Genomic DNA, 25138 nt, shown 5'->3' on the forward strand with positions numbered 1-25138 from the left:
ACTCCATTTCATGATATGAAGACAGTATGCCCATGTCAGAAGGGAATCAACTGTTATATAGACTATCTACCACAAATGACTGTGGAGGAAAGTGGAAAGCCAAGGAAGGGGGAAAAGTAGTACCCATGAGTTCCCTAAAATGAGATGTATATGAGGATAAAATTACAAGTTCTGAAATTTTTTATCTTTTGCTTTTAAAATTTCTAATTGTTGTACAGAGTAAATACAATAGCAGTACTCTGGTACATGTATGGTACATGCTCAAAAAATTTCAGTAACAGGAATGAAGGCAAGGAATTATCTGTCTTCTGCGGCAGAAGACAGTAAGAGAGTATAAGAATTAGTGACATAGGTCCCTACTTGTTCTTCACCACATATATAGGAGAAATATTTGCTTTTCATAAGTAATAATAGAGATGTATAACCTAAAATATTTGGAGACCACTGACAGGGTGTCCTGTTTCTGTCCAGACATGGGGATGACTTCAAGTGTACCACAAGGGATTCATGCATCAGTATGTGCTTAAAAACAGAAAAAGACTAAAAAAGCTAGAATGAATTTCTAGAATACTAATTATTAAATCATGGTATCTATTGACTTGCTTCTATTGTTTTGGAATATGACTAGCAGAATCTAATCTAAGATGACAGAAGTGCCTGAGTATCTATATTTTTACTGAGATAATACTAATCATAAGAAACATATGTGGTAGATTACAGACAGCTGCAAAGTATGCAACACTCCTCCCATTAAAAGATGAGATCCATGTTACCTCTCCTTAAATCTTAGTGGGCTCTGCGACTATTAATTGACCAACAGGATATGGCACAAGAGATGCTGAACCAGTGTCTGGGCCTTAGGATGCTGGCAGCTTTCACTTTCTGTCTTTTCGTGATACTTGTTCTTGGAAACCAGCTGCACGCTGTTGAGGGAGCCCAAACATCCCAATGGGGAGGACCATGTGGGGAGGAACTGAGAAGCCTGGTCAACAGCCCATTTAATCTCCCAGTTAACAGCACCAACTTACCAGCCATGTAAGTGAGTCATCTTAGAAATGGATCCTGCAGCCCCAGTTGAGCTATCCCAGTTGATGCCACATGAAACGAAGTCAAATCCTATCCAAATTGCAGGTTTGTAAACAAATTAATGATTACTGTTATTAGAAATCATCAAGTTTTAGGGTGGCTTATTATACAATGCAATGTCCTAACCTTAGCTGTCCAAATTGTAAGTTTAATATTGCCTTTCTCCAGTAAAGTAAATAATGAGCTTCACCTAACATGAGAATCTACCATCATATTTTATGGTGAGTAATTCAACAGATCTAAGCTATGATGTGACATGCTATCACGTAGATAGTAAAAATAGTGCCCCTGACATGATCACCTTCATCTCTGAATGTGACCCTACTGTCACACATCAGAAGGTTGAGTCCCCCATAGTCATCATAGATTAGCCTCAACCCACCCTCAGCCGTTTGCCTGATTTCTCCCTGTAACCAATGACATCTATTGGTAAGATTAATGATCTGGGCTTTAAAGACAGTATGATACGTGATTATGAAAGGGAATAAAACTTCAGACTCATAGGGCCTAATCTGTGTCCTCAGCCTCATAAATGGTCCATTTTGACCAATTTAACCTCAAACAAATTAAAAAAAAGTAACAGAAAAACATATTGAAAACTTCATAAAATCAATTAGGTTGTTTCATACAATAGCATTAAAATGAGGCTCCACTGTAGTGAACCAAAAACATCTAGAGGCCATATAGACAGTGTTATACCTTAACTTTATAATTACTATTTTATATACATGGTCTATGGGAAACTGGGAGTAGTCACCAAGTCAATCTACATTGTTTATGTACAGTAACACTAAGAAACACTAGTAACACTAGTAACCAGTAACACTGAGAAAAGTCCTAGATTACCAACTTTGTTAGAAACACTAATAGTCGCTTTAAAATTATTTAAATATACATTTTTTTATTTTCCTGCAACAGTACTATGAACATCCCCATTTGGAGATATATAAATATATATACATATATATAATCTAAAACAAGTTACGTGTTGGACAGGGGCCAAGTGGAGAAAAAAGTATCAATGCAAGATGAAACATACAACAAAAGGGAAGTCAGGAACCATCTACCCTGTGCTTCCAGAAAGCAGAAGAGATCAGAACTGGTGATGTTAGTCTGAGTCAAAGATGCCAAAAAGATGCCAAAAGGACCTGAGGAAGTGCTCTGTGAAAGCCATGGTTACCCTTTGATCTCACCATGGCTGGCATAGCGCTAACGAGACAGAGCTTGACAGGTTTCATTCTGGTTTAGTCTGGTGCTCAGACTAGCAGCAGATTCATTTCATAATTTTTAACATGACATAGAAGAAAGCCTAAACGTACAATCTTCCTGTGTGTCTGGAGATTTTTCCCTTAGCTTGATGCATTGCCTTTTGATGAACATTTATCTCAGCAAATCTTATTTCTGTACACTAAGGAATTTTCTAGTTCTAGAAGAGCTTTTAAATCCTTTGGCAGAGATTCACTCATCCTAGTAAAACAATAGCTGGCAGATACACACAGTCTACAGGAAATCAGGGTAACAAGTTAGGTCATTTTTTAGGTGAGCTACTTAGCAAACTTTGATTTGTCCTTCACAAAATGAAGATTTGTTTTCTTAAATGAAAGTACACAATTTCTTTTTATTCTCTATTCTAAAAGTCAATAAACAAATCATCAAATAAAATCTGGTTTATACCAGCTTTCATGACTCACATCTGGGCTATGTAGCTCACAACAATATTTTCCACCATAATATTTCTGTAAAAATAATCCTAGAACATATTAAATCCAAAGAAAACAATATAGTTTATTTGGAGGTCAGTCATCAACACTTACACTAAAACTTTTCTCACCTCCCTATAATTTTGATAACTGACCTTTAGTCAGTAAGATATAAGTATGTAGAATATGTCTTTAAAACAACTAATTAGACTATATTCTGTTATTTTGCCTTGAGATCAGGAGGAAAGATGTAAGTAAAGTCAAATCTGAATTAACTCCTCCCCATATACCAATCAGCTGCTAGTTCTTTGTTACCTAAGAATGCCTTCCACATTGTATCAGGATTTCAGAGAAAGTCCCATGAGGGCAGAGGCCACCTTTTCTTGCTCACCATTGCATCCTCTGACCTAACACAGCTCCCGTCACCCAGTAAGCACTTAGCACATATTGGGAGGATGAATACAGCATGAGACCCTCCTCAAAGCGATCTTTTCTACATTCTAAAATCAAATCTATATTAGCACCCCTCCTCTGACTTAATAAATTATTTATAGAAAGACCTTTTTAATACGTTACATGTGTGAGTCAGCACATTGGGTTCAGATAGGTATGTGTAGCAGGGCAGCTAGCTTGCACTGACCATCCAGTCTGAAATGTACCTCTCACCCACATGCCATCCCCCTCTGCCCCCATATCTCTTGATCCTCTTTCCTTGTTTTATTGATCTTTGTAAAAATTATTCTCAAAGATGTTCTATATGTTAAATGTCACTTGTCTATTGACTTAGAATATAAGTGCATGAGATCAGGAACTTTGTGTCACTCTATCCGGTGTTCCTACTGCCTAGGAAAATGTCGGGCACACAGCAGATGTTCATTTTATGTAATGGATGGATAGGAAGGAAGGAAGGAAAAAAAGGAAGGAAGGAAGGAAGGAAGGAAGGACGGAAGGAAGGAAAGACGGAAGGAAGGAAGGGGGGGCAGTTAAAGAAGAAACTCAGTGGGCTGCCATGGTAAAAATGCTTATGGGTTGAATTGTGTTTCTTCAAAGAGATATGCTCAAGTTCTAACCCACAATACCTGTGTATATGACCTTATTTGGAAATGGTCTTTGTAGATATAATCAAATTAATATGATGTCATCCTGGATTAGAGTAGGTCCTAATCCAGTATGGCTGTCATCCTTATAAAAAGAAAAGAGACTCAGACACACACAAAAGGAGGACAGCCATGTGAAGACAGGCAGAGATTGGAGCTCTTCTGCCACAAGCCAAGAAATGCCCGGTACTATCATAAACTGTAAGAGGCAAGGAAGGGCCCTCCTCTAGAGGCTTCAGAGGGAGCATGGCCCTGCCAACATCTTGATTTCTGAGTCTCAAGAATTGAGAGAGAATAAATTTCTATTGTTTTAAGCCACAGTTTATGTATGATACTTTATTACAACAGCCCTAGAAAATTAATACAACTGGGCACAATAAAAGCAGGGTATATTAAGGGAAGGGTCTCAAAAACCACAGTGGAAGATTGTAGAAAGACAAACTTTGCTTAACTAAAACATTTCCTGTAATATTCAACCAAAGCTGGTTGTAGAACAATGAATAAATGAAAGATGCAATAGGAATTTTAAAAAGGAAATTCTTAGAGCAACAGGTTACATTACTCTTTTTAAAAACCTAATTATTTTTCTTAGTTTAGTACTTAATCTCTCTTTTCTTAATTTTTAATGCAAGTTTGCCTAACAAATACTATCTTTGGGATGCCTAACAACTTAAGAAATAGACAAATCTGACACTAAAGTTCAATCTCTTACCAATGAGCTAATATTTTATCTCAGATGCCAAAATGCAACTTTTCAGATGGCAGATATGCAATTTGTTACTTTTATAATTCTATTAATTTTACTGGGGGTATTTTATATTTAATTTATAGTTAATATTTAATTTTTGTTTTGACCATATTTTAAAGCAAATCCTGTTTATTCCTTTGGCCATCTAACCATTAATATATTTGAAATACAAAACAGACAATAATCATAATAATCTAACAGCTATTATTTTTAAACACTATGTGTTAGACATATTTATAAACTCTTTTATAGATAAGTCTTTTAAGTCTAAATAACTGTAAGAGAAATACGATTAATAACCTATTAATAATTTAGCAGGTGGAAACACTGAAGCTTTGAAATGTATAATGCAATGTGTCTCTAGTATTTCACCTTGGTTACAGGTAGGCGCTGACAAGCCAGATATCTAGTTAAAATCATTTCTCAGTAAGTGTGAGGGATTGGTTCCACAACCTCCCGAGGATACCATAATCCACGGAGTCCTTTGTGGATCACGTTTGAGTCCCTTATATTAAATGGTGTAGTATTTTGCATATAAACTACACACATTAGGTATTACTTATAATACCTAATACAATGCAAATGCTATGTAAGTAGTTGTTATACTGTTGAGTTTAGTCAATAACAACAGGAAAAAGTTTGTACATGTTCAGTATAGACACAACCATTCTTTTCTCCTCCCTGAGTATTTTCAGATCACAGTTGGTCGAAACCAAGGATACTAAACCCACAGAAATGGAGGCTGACTGTATATACAAGTCATATGTAATCTGTCTGTATTCCCATAGCTAGTAAGTAGTGGAGCCAGGTTTGTGCTGTGGCGATCTGGCTCCAGAGCCTACACCTTTATGCACTATTCTATATTCATGTCTTTTTAATGGAGATATGTGTTTTTCCTGAAGTTGGCTCACTTATAGACATTACTGACAGTACTATAAGTCATATAGTAAAATCATTTCTCAGTTGCCAGTAATGGCGAAAATGAACACTCACCTTTCAGATGAATCCTGTAATATGGTTTGTTATGTTTGACAAGATACAATTTGGAAGCTTCACAATACTTTGTACATTAGGAGACATGACTTATTAATGTACCATTAATGGAAAGTGTTACTAAATACTAAAATTCTGCAGAATCAATTGCTGGTTTTTTGGGGTTTTTTTTTTTTTTTTTTTTTTTTTGCTTTTGAACTACACTTACTCTCCATGGCAGCTTAAAAAGAGAAGCCCCATGAAAGTTTTAAACTCTATCCAAACCCAGGACAATCCAGCCTCTGTTTAGATGTGCCTCCACCCATCTCAGATTTTGATATAATTTGTCACTCTGCCATGTCCTTGTTCAAATACTACAGTATGTACTCTCTCAGCTTTTATGCCAGAAACCACGAGTCTCCTAACTTTAGGAATATGTTGGGTAAATATTCTTACCCAATGAACTGCTTTTGAACACTTAATGGTTTGCATCTAATATTATATATCACTAATTTTTATCCTCTTCACTTCAAAAAACATAAAATTCACCCTTTGAACACATCACATGTCCCTGAATATGTAAGCCCTGTAACCAAATCTTCAGCTGCCATTCTCATGGGAGTTTTTTATCTAATGAGATTATACTGAACTCAAATCTAAAATAGATTTGCATTTAGAATTAAAGTGATAATTCTTTCTCCTTTATAAAATTTGCGCCAAAATAGGTTCATAGTTAGAATACCTCCACAAGGCTCTTGATGGCTCACAAAACTTCTGTTTTCTGGACTTGAAATGTGTAATGAGAGGTTTCAGTGATGTCAAACTAGTTATAGGGAGAATCTGATCAGCCACCTTTAAATTTCTAGGAGTCAGAGCAAACCCATTTAAATTTATATTAATGAGTTAGTACAAACTTTCCCTGGGAAGGTTGTCTATGATCCTCACTTGGAATTCTGCAAGCATAAAAGCAAGTAAGTCAGTCTGGAAGGCTTGATTTATTAAACTACCAAATCACAATAAAATAAAACTAGAAGGAACTGTGCAGATGATCTATAAACTCATTATTTTACAGGTGATAAAACTGAGGCTGTGGAAGACACTGACTTTACACATGACCAGGTTTCTAGTCCAGTGTACTCTCCACTGATTCAGACTGTTTCTTGCTTCTCAGCACCTGTTATTCTGAGGCAGTTTCTACCAACAGTCACACAGAGAATGAGTTTTTTTTTTAAGGTACAAAGAAAGACTGAGAACAAATAATTCTTTTAATTATCAGTTTTTACTCTTAGTCTGTACCCTATGTTCCTTGCTTCTTCCTCTGGTTCTCACCCTCCTCAATCCCACCCTGCCTGCCACACTCCCAATCTCTGTGTCACCCCCCACAAAAGAAACATAAAGCTGGGCATGAGTTCTGTTACTTTTGTTTTAACCTCTCCTATAGCCACGCCCTTATTTTCAATAATTCCTGTCTATTATTTTCCATAAACTTAACAGGAAATTATACATCCTAGCACAAGCAGCCTCCTATGACTTTGTTGACTAATGCCTGAAGGAAAAAGCTATTACTTTCTGGTGGCCAAGTTATAGCTATAATTTTAGTTTATTCTTGAGATCACCTTCTATATGACAATATAAAATTACAAAGTGCCAATTTAACTTCTGAAAAATCAACTTCTTTTGTTATCCTACTAAACAGAAATCCATGTTAAAATAAAAATAGTTGTACATTTTTATCTCTATGCTATTATAATTTTCTGAAAAATAAGTCATTTTTATTTGTATCTGTGCTTAATGAGATGGAAAACCTATATGTATTACTTGTTTTGTAATTAGAAAGTAGGCTAGAAGATACCATCTGTCATTTATAGTCTTACTTCTAATCTAATAGAGGCAATAAACCCATATCAGAGCCACCAACTGCTTTGAGTTCTCAATCAATTGAGTCTTTGTATATTCTATAAGGGAAAAATTCATCCAAAAAACACACTATGAGAAAATCTCTGTTTTCTGGAAGACATTTAGTATGATGTCAGCCATCTGAACTGTGGTTCTTTTATTGGTTCGTTACATTTTATTTTAAAGATTAACTGATTTTGCTCTTCAGTGAACGCATATTTCTGAACCTGAAGATTTCTTGAGATTACGCAGACATCCATTTCGCTTCAGGTACTTGTGGTTTATCTCAACTGATAAGATATTCAGAAATAACTCTACATGGCAGAATTTTATGAACAAAAGCAATTCAAACTAGACACAAAGACTATCCAAAAGGTTTTACACCAGACACACTGTGGTTCCCCCATGGAATGCAGGGAATTTTAATAACATTATTTAATGAAGATCTGAAGACCGGACTAATTCTATCATGTATCAACTATGGTAATGATATGTTTAATATTGTATACATAGCAGTATTTTAACAGTAGAATTATTTGATAAGCATATAGAAATGTATTTTGCTATTAAAATCAAATCAAACCTGATGAGGATAATGTTACTAAGATTATAATAATAGGAAAAGGTTCAAAAGTACTTTATTGAAATCCAAATTCTGGAAACTAAATTCAAATTCCTTTAGAGCACATGGAAACAATTTTCTTTCTTTTTAGTACTCAAACATACTATGATTTATTCCCTATAATACTGTTATTTCACTGTTTTCAACATCACATTGCTTATGAGGTTTCTGCATTTATAATTCCTCTGAAAAGAATATAAGTAGACAACTATTTTACTGATATGAGTGGATATTTTTCCAGAAAATTTTATGGGTGAAATGTAGAACCGAGACTGAATAATGTGGAAACTGAATGTGAGGGTAAGTCTTCAGAGCCATAAACTTCCAGGAAGCAAGAGTTTCCCAACCCTGCACAATTTTATCAATTACTCATCCCATATTATTTAGTACTTAATATGCATAAGATATTAATAATATGCATAAGATATTAAGTACTAAATTATATGTGATGAGTAATTGATAAAATTACTTAATATGCATAAGATACTAAGTACTAAACAATATGGGATGAGTAATTGATAAAATTCTACAGCAAAAAAAGCCCTATATTACTCTTTGTATAAACAAATTTTCACTGAAAAATGAAGCAATTTTGAAATTTTTCAAATTTGCCTAAAACCTTTAAATCAGAGTAGAATGAAAATCCACGCAAATTTCTCCAATGAGTTCTTAAAGTGTAAGCTGCACTTTAAAAATCTATACCTGTAGGAATTACATCCAGTCATTAAACTTGTTTGAAATAGTAATGGATGAAATCACAGTTACTGTTTCCAAGCGTATGCAGAAACACATCTGAACCTAGCATGTTTTTGCTGACCTTAAAATATATAAGTACTTCATTTGTAATACATAAAACATGTATGCATATCTGTTGTAACAAGAAAATGGGATTAAAAGGCAAATGAAACATAGATAGAAAATAACTCTTTAACACTTCTATTATTTTAACCAATACTACTTTTGAGTATCAGATTGTGAAGTCACTGCAATGCTGTTAACAGTTAAGTGACCCAATTTACACCTTCTGTGTTATGGGCTCTTAACCAGTGTTACTAAAAACCTAGCTATCTTGGCCTTCCTTTCACTGATCAACCTATAAAATGCATGGACTTATGTTGATTTTCTTCAGTGTTATACATTTTAAGGACTTTCATGCCTAAATAAATAAATAAATAAAATACCCCAATTTTCATAAAGACACAATCATGGGTCAATGTTGCTGTTGTAATAACTCCTACAAAAGGAAAATGAAGAATAAAGTGGTCACAAGTTTCAGCAAAATAGGCATATTCTTTCAGAGAAACTAACAAAATTTAAAAATAACATCAACTATTAAGTGACTTTTTGTATTTGTGCTCTAAATAACTTCTTTTTTTTTTTTTTTTTTTTTTTGAGATGGAGTCTCTCTCTGTCACCAGGCTGGAGTGCAATGGCGCCATCCCAGCTCACTGCAACCTCTGACTCCCCAGTTCAAGTGATTCTCCTGCCTCAGCCTCCAGAGTAGCTAAGATTACAGGCATGTGCCACCACATCCTGCTAATTTTTGTATTTTTGGTAGAGCCGGGGTTTCACCATGTTGGCCAGGATGGTCTCGATCTCCTGACCTCGTGATCCGCCCGCCTCGGCCTCCCAAAGTGCTGGGATTACAGTGGTGAGCCACAGCGCCTGGCCAACTTTTTATTCTTTAACCTCAATTCTAACACTTAACATTTGAACAATCATATTTTTAAAAAACTGATTTTCAGAGAAACTTGCTAAACTAAAAGCTCAACTCTATAGTCTTTTAGGCCCCTGGTAAGTAATTATAAGAATTTATGTTCTCAAGAATTAATATTAAACTATTTAATTTTAGTAATCAATTTTAATAATTACTACATAAACACTTTAATATGTTTAACTTATAAATTCCATCATCTTTTACTTGCTAAATGTAGGATTTAGAATCCTTACTTCACACACCTAGTCAACTATTCCCTCAGTGACCCAAGAGAGTTTAAAAAGTCATGTTGTCTTTACAGCTAGAAACCAGACATATTCCCAAAGGAGGCTGTCCATTTTGGGCTCAAGATTAAGCAAACCTATATTGCTGAATGAAAAAACTGCATTGTTTTAAATAACTCACAGACAAAACAGATTCTCTACAAATCCAACTTATTGTTTAAATAACTCTGTCTTGTATATATCTGGAAAGAAATGTGATTAGTTTTATTAATTCTTAAAAAATTATCCAAATCAAATTGATTTCCTAACAATAAGTGTGAGTGGTTATGGGTGTATAAACATTTTGTATTCAGAGACCTGAACAGAATCACAGAAGCTGATCCTCTCGCCCTCAGCTATATCACATATATACCAACTCAAATAGACCAAGAATTAATTCCTGAAGGATGCTTTAGATCTATACACTATTAGGAGATGTTTCTTTATTGTCAGCCTCCATTTCCTCATGTCACAATTTAATTTGTAATTTCCTGGCATTTAGAGAAATGAAAATTTAAATGTTCTGTTACTGTAGATATTTTTATCTTTCCAAACTATTTCAGCCTATTAATCAGGTCACCAATGTGGACTTACCCAAAAATAAACATTACAATTCTAACACGTCTATTGTAACCAGGCAGGCCTCAATCTTACTGTTGTGTACTCTTAGAAAGTTGGGATGCATTTTTACATGAAAACATTGGAAATTATTATTATATTCCACATTTCCCCCCCCCAAAAAAAACTGCACTAATGATAGTTCTATGTCTTAAATATTGACTTTAGAATCCAATATCCCCAAAGTTTCAGGGTATGCAGAATTAGTTGGGGACAGCTGCTAGCAGCTGGCAGCACCCAAAACCAAGTCAGAAAAGAGTTCTGAAAGAAAGTGAGTGGGGACATCTCCCCCACCCCCACCTTGACCCTAACAGTAAGGGAAATGACCTTCATTTGGATAAAGATAATTCCCTTCCTAAAGTACTCTAAGCTTCTTAGTAGAGTCAGAACTCCTTGGAGTACAGGAAAGTGTGCCCTATCTGCTGCATTTACCAGTTAGGTCTTAATAATCAGCCGATTATTTAACAAAACATCTTGCATCTAATAGGGACCAATAAAGGGGTTAAATGAAGAGAGCCTTTATTTCTATTACTAAATAATGTCTTTTAGAACCAGGCATAGCATACAAACTAGTGTGTGACAAGTGCTGAGTGTAAGATACTGATATCCCTAAAGATTTATGAATTACATATCTAAGAAGTATACCTATATCTACCGATTTTGAAATATATATCACAGAATTTATGTCATCTTCTTCCAAGTAAACACCTTAAAGAGCTACACTGACATTTACTTCATTGCTTCAAATATGCTCTGAACTCCTGTCTTGGAATTTTTAATGTTTTTTAATATCCTCAATGCTTGTTTATTTTTTAAGAGTACATATGATTTTAAGAAACACAGGTTTTTCCAAGCCAGGACTTGTGATAACAGTGATAAACATAATAAATAATATCATTGTGTTTAAAAAGAAGAAGGAGGAGGAGAAAAAAGTAATCAAATTGGTATGGGGGTTTGATCAACCAGGTTCTGAAAAACTCTGAAAGGAAATATCAAAAAAAGGTCATTGGAATTGCCCACTAATATATGGGTAGAACCCTTTAAGGCCTTGGAGAGAAACCACACCTGGAGGTCCTTTAAGTGACTGCATTGAAAGGAACAAGATTATTTATCCTTCTAAGTTCGGGCATATATGTTTAAATATCAGTCATCTTAACTTAAAATCTCATCTGGGAGTTTGTCTATATTGTATTATGTTTACTTAACTTGGGCTACATCTGTACTCCTTAAAGTTTAAAAAAAAAATCAAATCCATTTCAGTCAAAGAATGTAAATTACTTCACTAAAATATGATAGAAATTCTTGTTTCTACCAACTCAGTAGAAGAGTGATTCTCAAGCTGCAGTGTACCTTAAAAATACAAATGCCTGGCTGGGCACAGTGGCTCACACCTGTAATCTCAGCACTTTGGGAGTCCGAAGTGGGTGGATCAACTGAGGTCGAGAGTTAGAGATCAGCCGGACCAACATGGAGAAACCCCATCTCTACTAAAAATACAAAAATTAGCCGGGTGTGGTGGCAGGTGCCTGTAATCCCAGCTACTCGGGAGGCTGAGGCAGGAGAATCGCTTGAACCCGGGAGGCGGAGGTTGCTGTGAGCCGAGATTGCGCCATTGGACGCCAGCCTGGGCAACAAGAGTGAAACTCCATCTCAAAATAAATAAATACATACATCTATACAAGCATACATACAAATACCTGAGTCATACTCCCAGAAAATCTGACTTAATCAGCCTAGAGTAAGTCCCTAGGGAATCTGCAATGTTAATTCCCAAGCTGATTATGATAGAGGTGGGCTTGGAACCACACTTTAAGAAACAGAGCACTCAGCTCTCATGAGGGTTAGACTTTCCAATTAAATTATCACTTCAGTAGGTATATCTGACAACTTTGAAAAATAATCCACAAAGAACTCTTTTCAGTAAAATATTTGCAAAGTGTGCACCTGACAAAAAAACTTACATTCAGAATCTACAAGGAATTCAAACAACAAAAAGAACAAATAACTCCATTAAAAAGTGGGCAAAAGACATGAATAGACAATTTTCAAAAGAAGACATAGAAATGGCTCAACATCACTGATCATCAGAGAAATGCAAATTAAAACCACAATGAGATACCATCTTACTCCAGTCAGAATAGCTATTACTAAAAAGACAAAAAATAACAGATGTTGACGAGGATGCGGAGAAAACGGAATACTTACACACTGTTGGTGGGAAAATTAGTACCGCCTCTATGGAAAACAGTATGGAGATTTTGCAAAGAACTAAAAAGAGAACTACCATTTGATACAGCAATTCTACTACTGGGTATATACCCCAAAGAAAAGAAATTATATCAAAAAGAAACCTGCACTTGTATGTGTATCAGAGCACTATTCACAATAGCAGAGATACAAAATCAACCTGTGTCCAACAATGGATGACTGCATAAAGAAACTGTTGTGTGTGTATGTGTATAATTTAATTATATATTGTTAAATATCTGTTTATATACATACATACACACACATACAATTTCATTGTGTGCACATATTTACATATATAAAATGGAACACTATTGTATTCCAATACAATAGTATACATATATATTTATATAAATATGTATACATACTTGTTACACACTAGTCACACGCTAGTTTGTATTTATATAAATATATGCATACTATTGTAATGAAATACAATAGTATTCCGTTGTATTTGTAATACACACACACACACACACACACACACACACACAACGGAATACTATTCAGCCATAAAAAAGAATGAAATCATGTCTTTTGTGGTCACATGGGTGAAACTGGAGACCATTGTTTTAAGTTAAATAAGTCAGAAACAGAAATTCAAAAACCACATTTTTCACTTATAAGTGGGAGCTAAATAATATGTGCACACAGACATGGAGTGTGGAATAATAGACTGGAGTCTCAGAAGAATGGGAGGTAGGAGGGGGGTGAGACATGAGAAATCACTTAATGAGTACAATGTACCCTGGGTGATGGTTACACTAAAAGCTCAGACTTTACCACTGTACAATATATCCATGTGACAAAACTGCACTTGTACCCTATTTTTCTATTTTCTAAAAAGAAAAAATAATTTTTCTCAGTAAAATAAATGTTTCATATTAACTTTCCCACTGAAAAATGGCAGCGATTTAATGAAAAGCACCATTCAATCCCTACATATGTTCAATATCAATCAAGGCTTATCTCTTATCAGTCCCAAGGAAAAACATCTCAGGTTTCCCCTCTTTGTTAGGGGTGCGGGCCATAATCCTGAGACACACAATCCTAAAAGACCAAATCCTGAATGCTGAAACTCTGAAACATCAAAATCCCTAAAGTCTAAAATCCCTAAAATCATAATCCTAAAAGATCAAAATCTCAAAAATATAATTCTGGGGAACAAAATAATTAAAAAATATTTTAAAGACATTTATTTACATTTTTAAGGGGGATTTATTTGGGAAACATAAAAACATGGCAGAACACGTGATAGGCCACCTTATATTAATACTACAAAATAGGCAATAATAATATTAATAATATACACATTTTTGCAAGCACAAACACTCAGGTATAGTAACAATAGTTGCATGAGTATAGCAGTTGTGAGTAGATGAACCAGATTCATAAAGAAATTGGTCAAAACGTGAAATGCAAAAACATATATCACTGTGGTTGCTAATTGTGGGCACCCAGCTATATAACTGCAGTTATCTGAAATACCATGATGAATAACCTAAGTCTTTTAACAAGATTGATCACAAACTGTGACAGGTCACCACTACATATGTAGTAAGAGTCAAGATCTTGAGAAATTTCATCCTTCACAAATGCAGATGTACAAAAAGGAAATTTCTTCGTTTTTTGAGGAGGCTTCAATGTTTTTATATACAAATACAATTCTTATCCACAGAGTCAACATTGTGATAACGCAGTTTAATGGAGTCAAATTCGCAGCAAAAAAAAATGCATAAAACAAATTAGAACTCTCCAAAATTATTTACACAATTTACACCTCCAGTATTAAAAATGATGTGAAGATGAAATACATAGCATAATGAATTGTTACTATGTGTGAAGGAGCAGTAGTCGTACACGACTGAATAACTTGGCAGGGAAGGTATCTTGTAATTTTTGCTGGCATTGCCACTTTTCTATAATCTTCTAAACACTTGCTGCACTTGTATTTGGAAAGTGGTTATAGTCTACAAATTTTGTAACTATAAACTGTCCATTTGAAAGTCTGGTTATTGCTCAGCCATTGCAATTAGCGATTTTCTGCTTTGGCAGCATCAATTAATTAGCTTTTAAATTTTTATCTTTCACCATTAAGTAGCCTCATACACTTATCACAGCCTTTCTGCAAGCGGACAATTTTACAGATCTCTTCCACTGTGTTATAAGGAATATATAAGAAAAAAATGATATTCAGCTTCCTGACAGCAAATCTGTGTTACTCAGGGTTCTCCAGAGACAGAACCAATAGGGCACTTATATAGATATATGAGAGGGGATTTATTAGGGGAATTGATTCATGCAATTATGGTGGCTGAGAAGTCCCAAGACAGGTCATCTACAAGCTGGAGATTCTGGGATGCTGGTAATGGTGGCTCAGTTCACATTTGAACGCCTCAGAACCAGGGAAGACAATGGTGTAACTCTCAAGCCAAGGCCAAAAGCCTCAGGACCTGGGGCACCACTGGTATAAGTCCTGGAGTCCAAAGGGCAGCAGGCCTGGAGTTCTGATGTCCCCAGCGGCAGAAGAAAAGTCTGTCTCAGCTCTCAGAGAGACCAATTTGCCTTCTTTATTTTGTTCTCTCTAGGACCCCTGCCATTTGGATGGTATCCATTAATGTTGAGGGCAGATCTTCCCCATCTAGTTCACTCAGACTCACACTAATTTCCTCTGGAAACACCCTCACAGACACACCTAAAATAATGCTCTACCAGGTTTCTAGGTACTCCTTAATTCAGTCAAGTTAAAATCCAGTCAAAGTAAAATTAAGTCCACAAGTCTGCCCCTTGTCTACTTGGCACCCACACACATCTCTTTAAACCATACTTAATTCCAAATAAAGACAATAATAAGGTAATAGTTTTACCTAACATGATGCAACTGACACGATGTAACTATCCTTCACACAGCCAGATATACACTAATCCCTTTCCCCAGAATTTGGCTTCTTGGATTTCAGCACTCAGGATTTTAATCTTTTAGAATTGGGATTTTCAGAGTTTTAGATGTTACGGATTTTAAATGTTAAGGATCAAAAGATCCTTAGACGTTTTAATCTGTTGGAATCTCAACATTCGGGATTATGGTGTTCAGGGTTGTGTCTCTCTGGATTATGACAGGCATTGCTTTCTTAAGCCATCAGAGCAGGCAAAAATGAATTTCACCCAGGCTTTTCCTACAATATGAAAACTTGCTATAGGACTCTCCAGATCCCTTTCTTGACCAGAGACCAAATATGCTAGCACCACCATCCCTTGATTTGCAGGGCCCACTGAAGTTTTTGGTATACTACTGTGGAATTCCAGATAGTACAGTGGCTAAGATGTAGGAAATGTTTTCCATCTCTGTTAGTTTATGAATAGCCTATCTTAGAGTTATTTACATCATTCTTCAAACAAAATCTATTTTTAAACGCCCAACTGCATAACTGACTGAAATGTTCATTTTTATACAATCATATGGTAACTTACAGTACAGATCTAGAGAAGTAGCAAAATTTGGAAGTAAGAATGAACAAAAATGCTCAAGAGACATTTTAATATCTTAAAGAAAACCCCCAGAGAGGCATCTGCTAAAAACATAACATAGTTTTAAGTTCTGGGGTACCCCTCTCCCCTAAAAAAATTGGATTTCTAAATAGCTACATTTGTAAGGTCTTCCTGATTATTCCAGAGGCATTTTGTCACGTGACTCCAACATGACAAACTTATTCTTGTTATTTGCAAAAGTTATAGTGTATAAGATTGCCACAAACACTGAATTCACAAATTCTGAACCATTGCTCCTAGGGGAAATACAAGGTTAGATTCCTGTAAGCCTCTGGTTACAACATTTTCGGCAACCATTCAATACATAACCTTGCTTCATGTATGTTTTTGTTTAAAGATACCTTATTTAATATATATTGTTGATTCATTAACATTGAACTTACTGCCAACAGCGTATTTAACTCATGCTTGAACAAAGCCTACCTCACACACACAAGTTCTCCATAAGACACGTTACAGACTTCTTGCATTTAGGAATGCTGGAAAGCAGTTAAGCACTGTGTTTGAACCATTTCCAACAGCAAAACCACCAACAGAAAGCACAAAAATTGTTTATATGTGGCACTAAATAAATTCTGAAAATGACACTTGGTTACACTATAAGAGCTGAACCGAGAAGGCAGGGCATCACCTTGTTAGAGTGTTGGGCAACTCAAATTTTTCAACCCTCTGCACATGTCTGACGATGGCTGTGCAAGTGCTGTGAATATTGATTTGGAGGGTATGCTGGGCTGTTCTTGCATTGCTATAAAGAAATACTTCAGATAGGGCAACTTATAAAAAAAGAGGTTTAACTGATCCGTGGTTCTGCAGGCTGTACAGGAAGTGCAGGGGCATCTGCTTCTGGGGCACCTCCCTCAGGGAGCTTTTACTCATGGTGGAAGGTGAAGCAGAAGCAGGAACTTCACATGGCAAAAGCAGGAGCAAGGGGTGGGGAGGTGCCACACACTTTTAAACAACCATACTTCGTGAAAACTCACTATCACAAAGACACCACGAAGCCATGAGGGATCCGCCTCCATGACCCAAACACCTCCCACCGGGCCCCACCTCCAGCATTAGGGATTACAATTCAACATGGGATTTAGGTGGGGACAAATATCCAAACTATATCAAGGGGTTACAAGTAAATTTTTGCAAGTAGGTGAATTGCAAATACAAAATCAATGAATAATAAGGATCAACTATACTCTCACCATCATGGTCAATAAAGTCATACCATCAACGGGAAGTCCCTATTTTAGATTTGATACATACAGAGCAGCATTTTCTAAGGTCCTTTTTCAGTGATGTAATGCTGCAACCAAATATATTATTGTACCATAAACAGTGTTATTTGTAACATTTTCAATTATTTAAATCACTCTTGCCTTGTGACAATCAACAGTTGCTGTATTTTATTAAAAATGTATAATGTGGCCTTAATTAAGTCACATGTGTTTAGCACTCTGCAAATGTTTAAGTGCCCAGAAGATGCTATAAAACTTAACAATGATGTTAATACCCACATGAAATTGTTTAAACTGTCAAAAGGGGAGCATCTATGCCAATGTCAGAATGCCAGTCCAAAGGTTCTATTTCAAAAATGCTTAATCAAAAAATAAAATGAAATAATAAAAAAGCACATTCAAACAGACATTTGAATTAGCGGTACAGAGAAGAAATGGAGGTAGGTGACAAAGAAATAGATATCTATGACCTAAAATACAAACTCAAAAATGCTGATAAAAATTCAATCTGCAAGGTGTTGATTAGAGGTAAAAAATAAATTTAAGGCCGGGCGCAGCGGCTCACGCCTGTAATCCCAATGCTTTGGGAGGCTGAGGTGGGCGAATCATGAGGTCAAGAGATCAAGACCATGCTGGCCAACATGGTGAAACCCCATCTCTACTAAATACAAAAAAATTAGCCAGGCGTGGTGGCGCATGCCTGTAGTCCCAGGTACTCAGGAGTCTGAGGCAGGAGAATCGCTTGATCCCGGAAGGCAGAAGTTGCAGTGAACCGAGATAGAGTGCCACTGCACTCCAGCCTGGGAACAGAAGCGAGACTCCATCTCAAAAAAATAAAAAAATAATAATAAATAAATAAATTTAAAAATTTTCTTACATTAAAGTTAATCAATAAAATTATTCATGGCCAGTGAGAGTTACAATATAATTGTGACTCATAACAATTGTTATTACATTCCAGTATTCCAAACCCACCAAATACTCATAGTCAAGCTTCATGTTACATGACAAACTAATCTACACATTTTAGAATTCTACCATGTAGAATTTCTAAGATTTAGCTATTATTTAGTTCAACTTCCTCATTTTACATATTAGTGACCACCAGCTCAGTTTACAGTAATCTCAAGCTGCAGCACATTCTTGTTTGTGGTGTGTATTATATATCAAAGAAGGCAAAAATTCACAGAGAAATCCAGGAAAGACAACTGCAGAGAGGCAGTGGCTCTTTTTACATGACGTGAGGTGTGTGGTCAGGGATGAAATCAAACAAGGCCATTTGAGTGAGCACTGTAGCTCTGCTTGCTTTATGTTTTTAAGCTACTCTAAATTCTATCCTGACCATCCAAACTAAATGGGATTTTCTAAACAGGTTTATTAAGGTTTATTGGAAAAGATGTTTCTTTATTGCTGAGAGGCAACATGGAAGAATGGAAATGCGCAACCTTGCAATTCAGGCAGACCTGGTCTAAACCTCGGCACTCTGTTACTAAATATGTGATTTTAGGCAAGTCAGAAACTTGCTGAATTTGTTTTTTTATGTGCAGAAGAAGGAAATTAAATACTTACACAAAATGGTAGTGTTTTGAAAACTAAACAGCTTAAACTATAAAGAATATCTAACATAGAACTTAGTTATATACAATTACTCAACATACGATAGTTCTTTGGCCCTGGATAATGTCAAAAAATTCTGAAGTCATCATTTCAATTTCTTGGGTTAGCCCAGATGTTACCAAAAATCCAAATATGACTGTCGTTGATTTCAGAAGTCACCCAGTTCTTAATACAACCAATTTGCAGAGTAAGCAGATGGGAAGAGAAAAATGTACCTTTAAATCCTAAGTACAAAAATCAATACTTTGTCAATAAAGCCACACCATGAACAGGAGAACATATCATAATTCATGCTGACAATTTTTCCCTCTAAGTCTTTGGCACAATATACTTAGAATTCATCATACGAATTGATTTTCTAACATGACACACTGAAAAAGAAGTAAGATAGTTCGTATTACTATTTCAGTCAATAAAAATTACAAGATGACTTTAGATATTGAATGAGAAAATACTGATGATGTTAAGTAACACTCCTATAAATTGTGGCTGAAATTTTGATTCACCTTTATAACATATAGAGTCACTGTCTTCAACAGAAAGATTTTAGACTGAATTATCCTAATAATTGTGTCATCGATTAAATGCATTTGTGTAGCTACCAAGAAAGACTTGATCAAGAATGTTAGCCAATAATAATTTCCTAATGTAAGCTGCATTCTCCTTTACAACACAAAATATATCCATTCAATTGGTCTGCAATTACATCCATAGAATTTTTCTTTCTGAGATATATATAAGTAACCTCTGTGACAAATCATGTAATTTGGTCTAGACCAGAAAGAACAATACATTATAAATCAGTGTCTCATTTTGCTATAATCGCCTCCTTAAAATAGCTACAACTGGATCAATGTCTCAGATTCTGTTTTATTATACCCACATTCTTAAAAGCATCAGTGACAAAACACTAACTGACTAAGGCAGAAGAGCAGCTGGTTCCATGGCTTCATAAAAAGAATGTTCTGAAAACAGTTCAAGAATGTTTGATGCACTTCACAAGGATTCTGTTCTAAAATTTCAAAGCCACATTAAAAAGTGATAACTGCTATCTTCAGTGGAAAAGAGGAAGTCCAAAATGATAGAATTGGACCAAATGTTAGCAAAAACTATTTCTGGGTTACTTATGAATTCTTCTTTCTTCTTTCCTTCCTTCCAAATATGGCTTTCACCTGCATATTAAGTATTTAAGGACCTGGGGTTGTTTTTATTTCTTTAAGGCAGACACAGCTTTTTAATGCTTATCATCTGTATAGCATTCCAATTCACTTAGCACAACAGAGGAATGTACTGCCTAATGAAAACATAATTACTTTTATAATCAACTACTTAATAAATGTATTACTTATTTTATTTTGAGGCTGCTAATTCCATGTTCTCTTTGTCTTGTTCTTTCTTTGTCCCTACATGTTAATTACGCTTGGTTTTCTTTCCATAGTAGTCTGACTGTCATATTCATTCTGATCCAACTAGTACAAAACTATCTTACCTCACAAACATCAGGAAACAGAGATATTGAAAGACAGTGAGTATGTGGATTTTTTTTCTTTCTTCTGACTATTGGAAAAAGTCATATCTAATTCCATTTGTTTGAGGAAGCTCATTGAGCACTGAATAAGCACTGGAAGAACAGATTCAAAAACCCAGTTATAAGCTATATGTGCAACCTTTAGTAATGTGATCCACATTCCTGAGATTCAATTTATTCATCATGTAGGAGACAGGTAAGATTATAATAATACTGACATACTTCACAAAGATATTGTGAAGAATGACTAATAAACGAGGCCTTTGACATTACTATATAGTGCATGAAGCCCCATTACTCATGCTGCAGTGTTCTGCAGTGGGTAATTATAGGCTTCCAGAGGCCAAAGTACATAATGTACCATACTTAATACTGCTTGATAGGTACAACTCTGTCACCCTTTTCCATCTACTCAACAATTTCATGGTCTTCAGATCATAGCTACTGCTTCCAAACATAATACTGCACTGTTAACAAGGTCCACAACTTGAGCAACAGAAGTGCAACAGAATACTTTCAGCTTCAAATATTCTGCTTTCCTACCTATTTACTCCATACAAACTTGTTCTCAATGGTCAATCTATTGCCCCACACTATTTCTTGAAGCAGCCTTATTCAATCTTACTGCATTATCACATTATAGAAAAAATAATGGGTAGAAGCCTATGTGAACAAATTAATTTTTTCCATGGTAAAACTAAAGTAAATATTCTTCCCACATCAAAATGTCTCTTTGCATAAATAAAGGCCAAGCGTTAAAGATAAGGCTTGGGCAAGAATTCTCAATCATCTCCACTCTTCTTTTTTCTGAACTGTTTTTCTCCTTCAAGACTGTGCCTTCCCCTTTTCTAACATTATTCTCCAGAAGTAAGCCTGTTAGCAGTGTGATAGACTCTCCAACATCTACTCTACTCCTAAATGTTTAAAGTAAGCCAACTATGGCAATTTCTTCTCTGTTGACAATTGTTAATATTAGTTTCAGAAAAGAGTAGGTCTATGTCAATTTGGTTTGTTAAGGGTTTCTGGGGGAAAAAAGCTAATCCTGCTCTCTTTCTCTCTCCCCTCCCCCTGCATGTTAAGAATCAGGAAACATGTCAAAGTTGCTGCTGGCAGCCATCTTAGATAACAAAAAAACTTGCCTCAGTATAAAGCCACCAAAGAAGCACTTCCAGACTGGCAGAATAAGGACCTCCCAAAATTCACTTCTCCCTGGCAATAAGAACACCAGCAAAAATGGTCACAATCATATTTTCCAGAACTCTGGAAATTAACCAAAGGCCTGCAACAATCTGATGAATTTTTATTCAGGAAAAACAGTTGAATCTCTATAAGAACAGCAAGTTGTGGAATTTTAACTTAGCCTATTCCCATCCCGTTCTTCCCAACCTTAAATACCAGTAGCCTCAAAACCATAGAAGCTTATATTTTTCAGAGGAAAAAACACTACTGTAAATTGTGAATAGCCAATACATAACTGTATTGTACGCAAATCTGTGATTGCTGGCAGTGTCATCTCTGAGAAACAGATAAATAAAGTTTATTTACTATATTTAAAAAAAAACAAACCACAGAAGCTGTGAAACCCAGCAGTCACTGTTTGGGTCAGAACAGGTTTGGAGCTCCTCCCAAAAGCTCCATCCCAGAGACTTGTCACAGTTTGACCTGTGACAAGCTCTATTCTCAGGAATAAATTTTTGACCCCACTCAGAGATTGCTAAGTGAGAAAATACCTATCCCCAGAGTGTTTGTTAAAAACAATCAGCAGCAATTTTTTAAGATCTCAGTGGCCAGAGTCAGTGACACCAGTTAGGGCTAACAAGAGACTGACAAAAAATTGTAAGCAAAATCTGGTTAATAAGACATTCATAACAGGCTTTGAAAACCTCCAATATATTCCTGGGGGATCTAAATAGGCACTTGGATGTGCAGGGCTATGTGCCTATCCAGGGAAGATCTGAGAAGATACTCATATCTCATTTCTGATTGACCTTAAGGCAATGCACAAGCAAGAAGTGAAAGCTAAGACAGAGTTGTAAACTGCTGGAGCACTGAAGGTATGCCCCCAACAAACATACACCCACACACGAATACACACACACACACACACAGCCCCTCCACAAAGAATGGGAGACTTACTGATTCAAGAAATTTAAGGATATCTCAGTCTAACCATTAGCTGACCACTAAATTCAATGAGCAGATACTTCTGTGGCAATATATGACAAAGAGGAAAGAATTCATCCAGTAAAGTCATAAAACAAACAAACAGCAAGGTGCAGGTAAAACTCAATCTATAGGCATAGATTGTACAATTAGGGCTAAGTGTAATGTCTTGTGTGACACAGATTTTGCAGTTACATTCAGGTGTAATTTCATCTATGGTGAAGGTATTCATTATCTATTTATAGCAAAGTTATTTCTAAGAATAACCTTCTCATTGGCACAGATTGGGCAGTTAGCTCTAGGTGGAATCTCCCTGTGACACAGATTCTTCTATACTTCTCCACACCCCATAGTAATTAGGCACTGGACTGAATATACTGTAGGTGCTTAATACGTAATACTGATTTCTTATATATTGCTTATACTTTGTTGTTATTTCATTCATATTCATAAAATTAAGGATAAAAAGTTATATCCCATTGTAAAATAATAACAGCTCAAGAAACCACCAAGAAACAAACACTTAGATTTTTAAAAGTATAACTTCGGAGAAGTGATTCACTTTACAAAAGATTTCTTCACTTTTGTAATATCACTTTAAATTAGAAGCTCCCATATGCATTTAAAACATTTAATTTATAAAACTTTATGTTATACACAATTTTTCCAGAATATATTTGCCAAATAAAGGAAGATATAAGAAACCAAGATTTGTTTCCTCTAAATAAGAGCTATTTTGAATTTTCTGGTTTGCTAGGCATCAGAGGCAGCAGAACCTGACAGAGAACATTAGTCCTGAATTGAATGAAATGCAAAGCCATTCCCCAAACACCTGTAACGCCTATAGCTCATTCTTAAAAGCTCTCATAAAACTTAAGAGTACAACCACAAATGGCCACTTTTCCATTCAATACTTCAGGAAATGAATATATTATGTTCAATCTATAAGCCTGGCACAAAATTTAGTTGACTGCTAAATATTGTTTATATTTTAAAAAGTCATCCTTATCCAAGAAAACTATTTTCATTCTGAGTCTCCTCCAAAAATTAATTTCTTCTAGAAATGCCTTTTTATTTGTTGTTCTGCACACTTTAAAATATAATCTTGTTTTGAGAACATTTTTGATGCAATCTTTCTCTCCAATGACTTACATTATTTAAATATCATTTACAAACCATGTTAAAAGCTATGGATGCTGGATATGAGTCTTTATTATATCTAGTTCTCAACAGGAATTGATATGCAAAATAGCCAGACTAGACTCTTTTTGCTCCTCTAAAAAAAAATTGTTTAAGTGTACAAAAAAAATTTCTAGGAACATTGTTATACAGTTTCACATTATGTAGAATGGTCACTGAAAATGAAGGAAATACATCAAAATATCTCATAAGCATGTAAAATTAAAATCTGATTTTTAAAAATTTTAAAAATTTATACTACCAGTTAGTTGAACATGCTAAAAAGCCAAGTGATCTGAATCACTTATTTACAAGAGATAGCACTTACAATATGCCCTATTTTATAAAAACACTAGATATCATCCCAGGATCCCAGTAGCAGTACTTTTCTATCCTTCATGGGAAAGCAAGAGAGGAAACAAAAAAACATTTCTAATGTGATCTTCACGTTACAAAAAATAAGTGCTGAGGCATAACTGCTCAAATAAATGGCACAGCTAGGGAAATAGAAAGGAAGGGCAATTTGTCTCCATTCATAAGTGGAGATGAATAAAACATCTCATACACGAGGTATTTAGAAAAATTATCTTTCAGAGCTCAACATATTTTGGGGGAAAATTAGGGTCCACCCAGATGGAACTTTTCAAATGAAAAATTTACAAGGGCATAAACCTTCAACCAGGGCAGTAAAGAGAGAAATAAAAATCACATGAATAAATAAGAGAGTTGCCGTAAGGGTTATTTAAAGCCAAAATTGGCAAGTTTCCACTGGTACTAATGCACAGAATGTATACTGGTAAAGGAATGGCTTGATGGCAATCTTTTTTTTTTTTTTGCTTTAAAAAATTATTTATTTGTGTGATAAAATATGCATAATGGAAAATTTACCTTTTAACATTTTTAATTG

The 25138-nt window shown here is 35.3% G+C and overlaps 1 protein-coding gene across 8 annotated transcripts in view; it reads right to left on the reverse strand.

The window, feature by feature from the left end:
• COL25A1 (collagen type XXV alpha 1 chain) overlaps positions 1-25138 on the reverse strand; it is a 493934-nt gene that overhangs the window by 403845 nt on the left and 64951 nt on the right. The window contains exon 1 of one of the 8 annotated variants that reach the window (XM_017008737.2): positions 1029-9498. The exons of the other annotated variants lie outside the window; for them this stretch is intronic. The gene's annotated coding sequence lies outside the window, so the exon portion shown is untranslated. Of the gene's footprint in view, positions 1-1028; positions 9499-25138 lie in introns of those variants that run through there. 8 annotated transcript variants of the gene reach the window in all.

This window comes from Homo sapiens, chromosome 4, assembly GCF_000001405.40.
Source record: "Homo sapiens chromosome 4, GRCh38.p14 Primary Assembly".
NCBI lineage: Eukaryota > Metazoa > Chordata > Mammalia > Primates > Hominidae > Homo > Homo sapiens.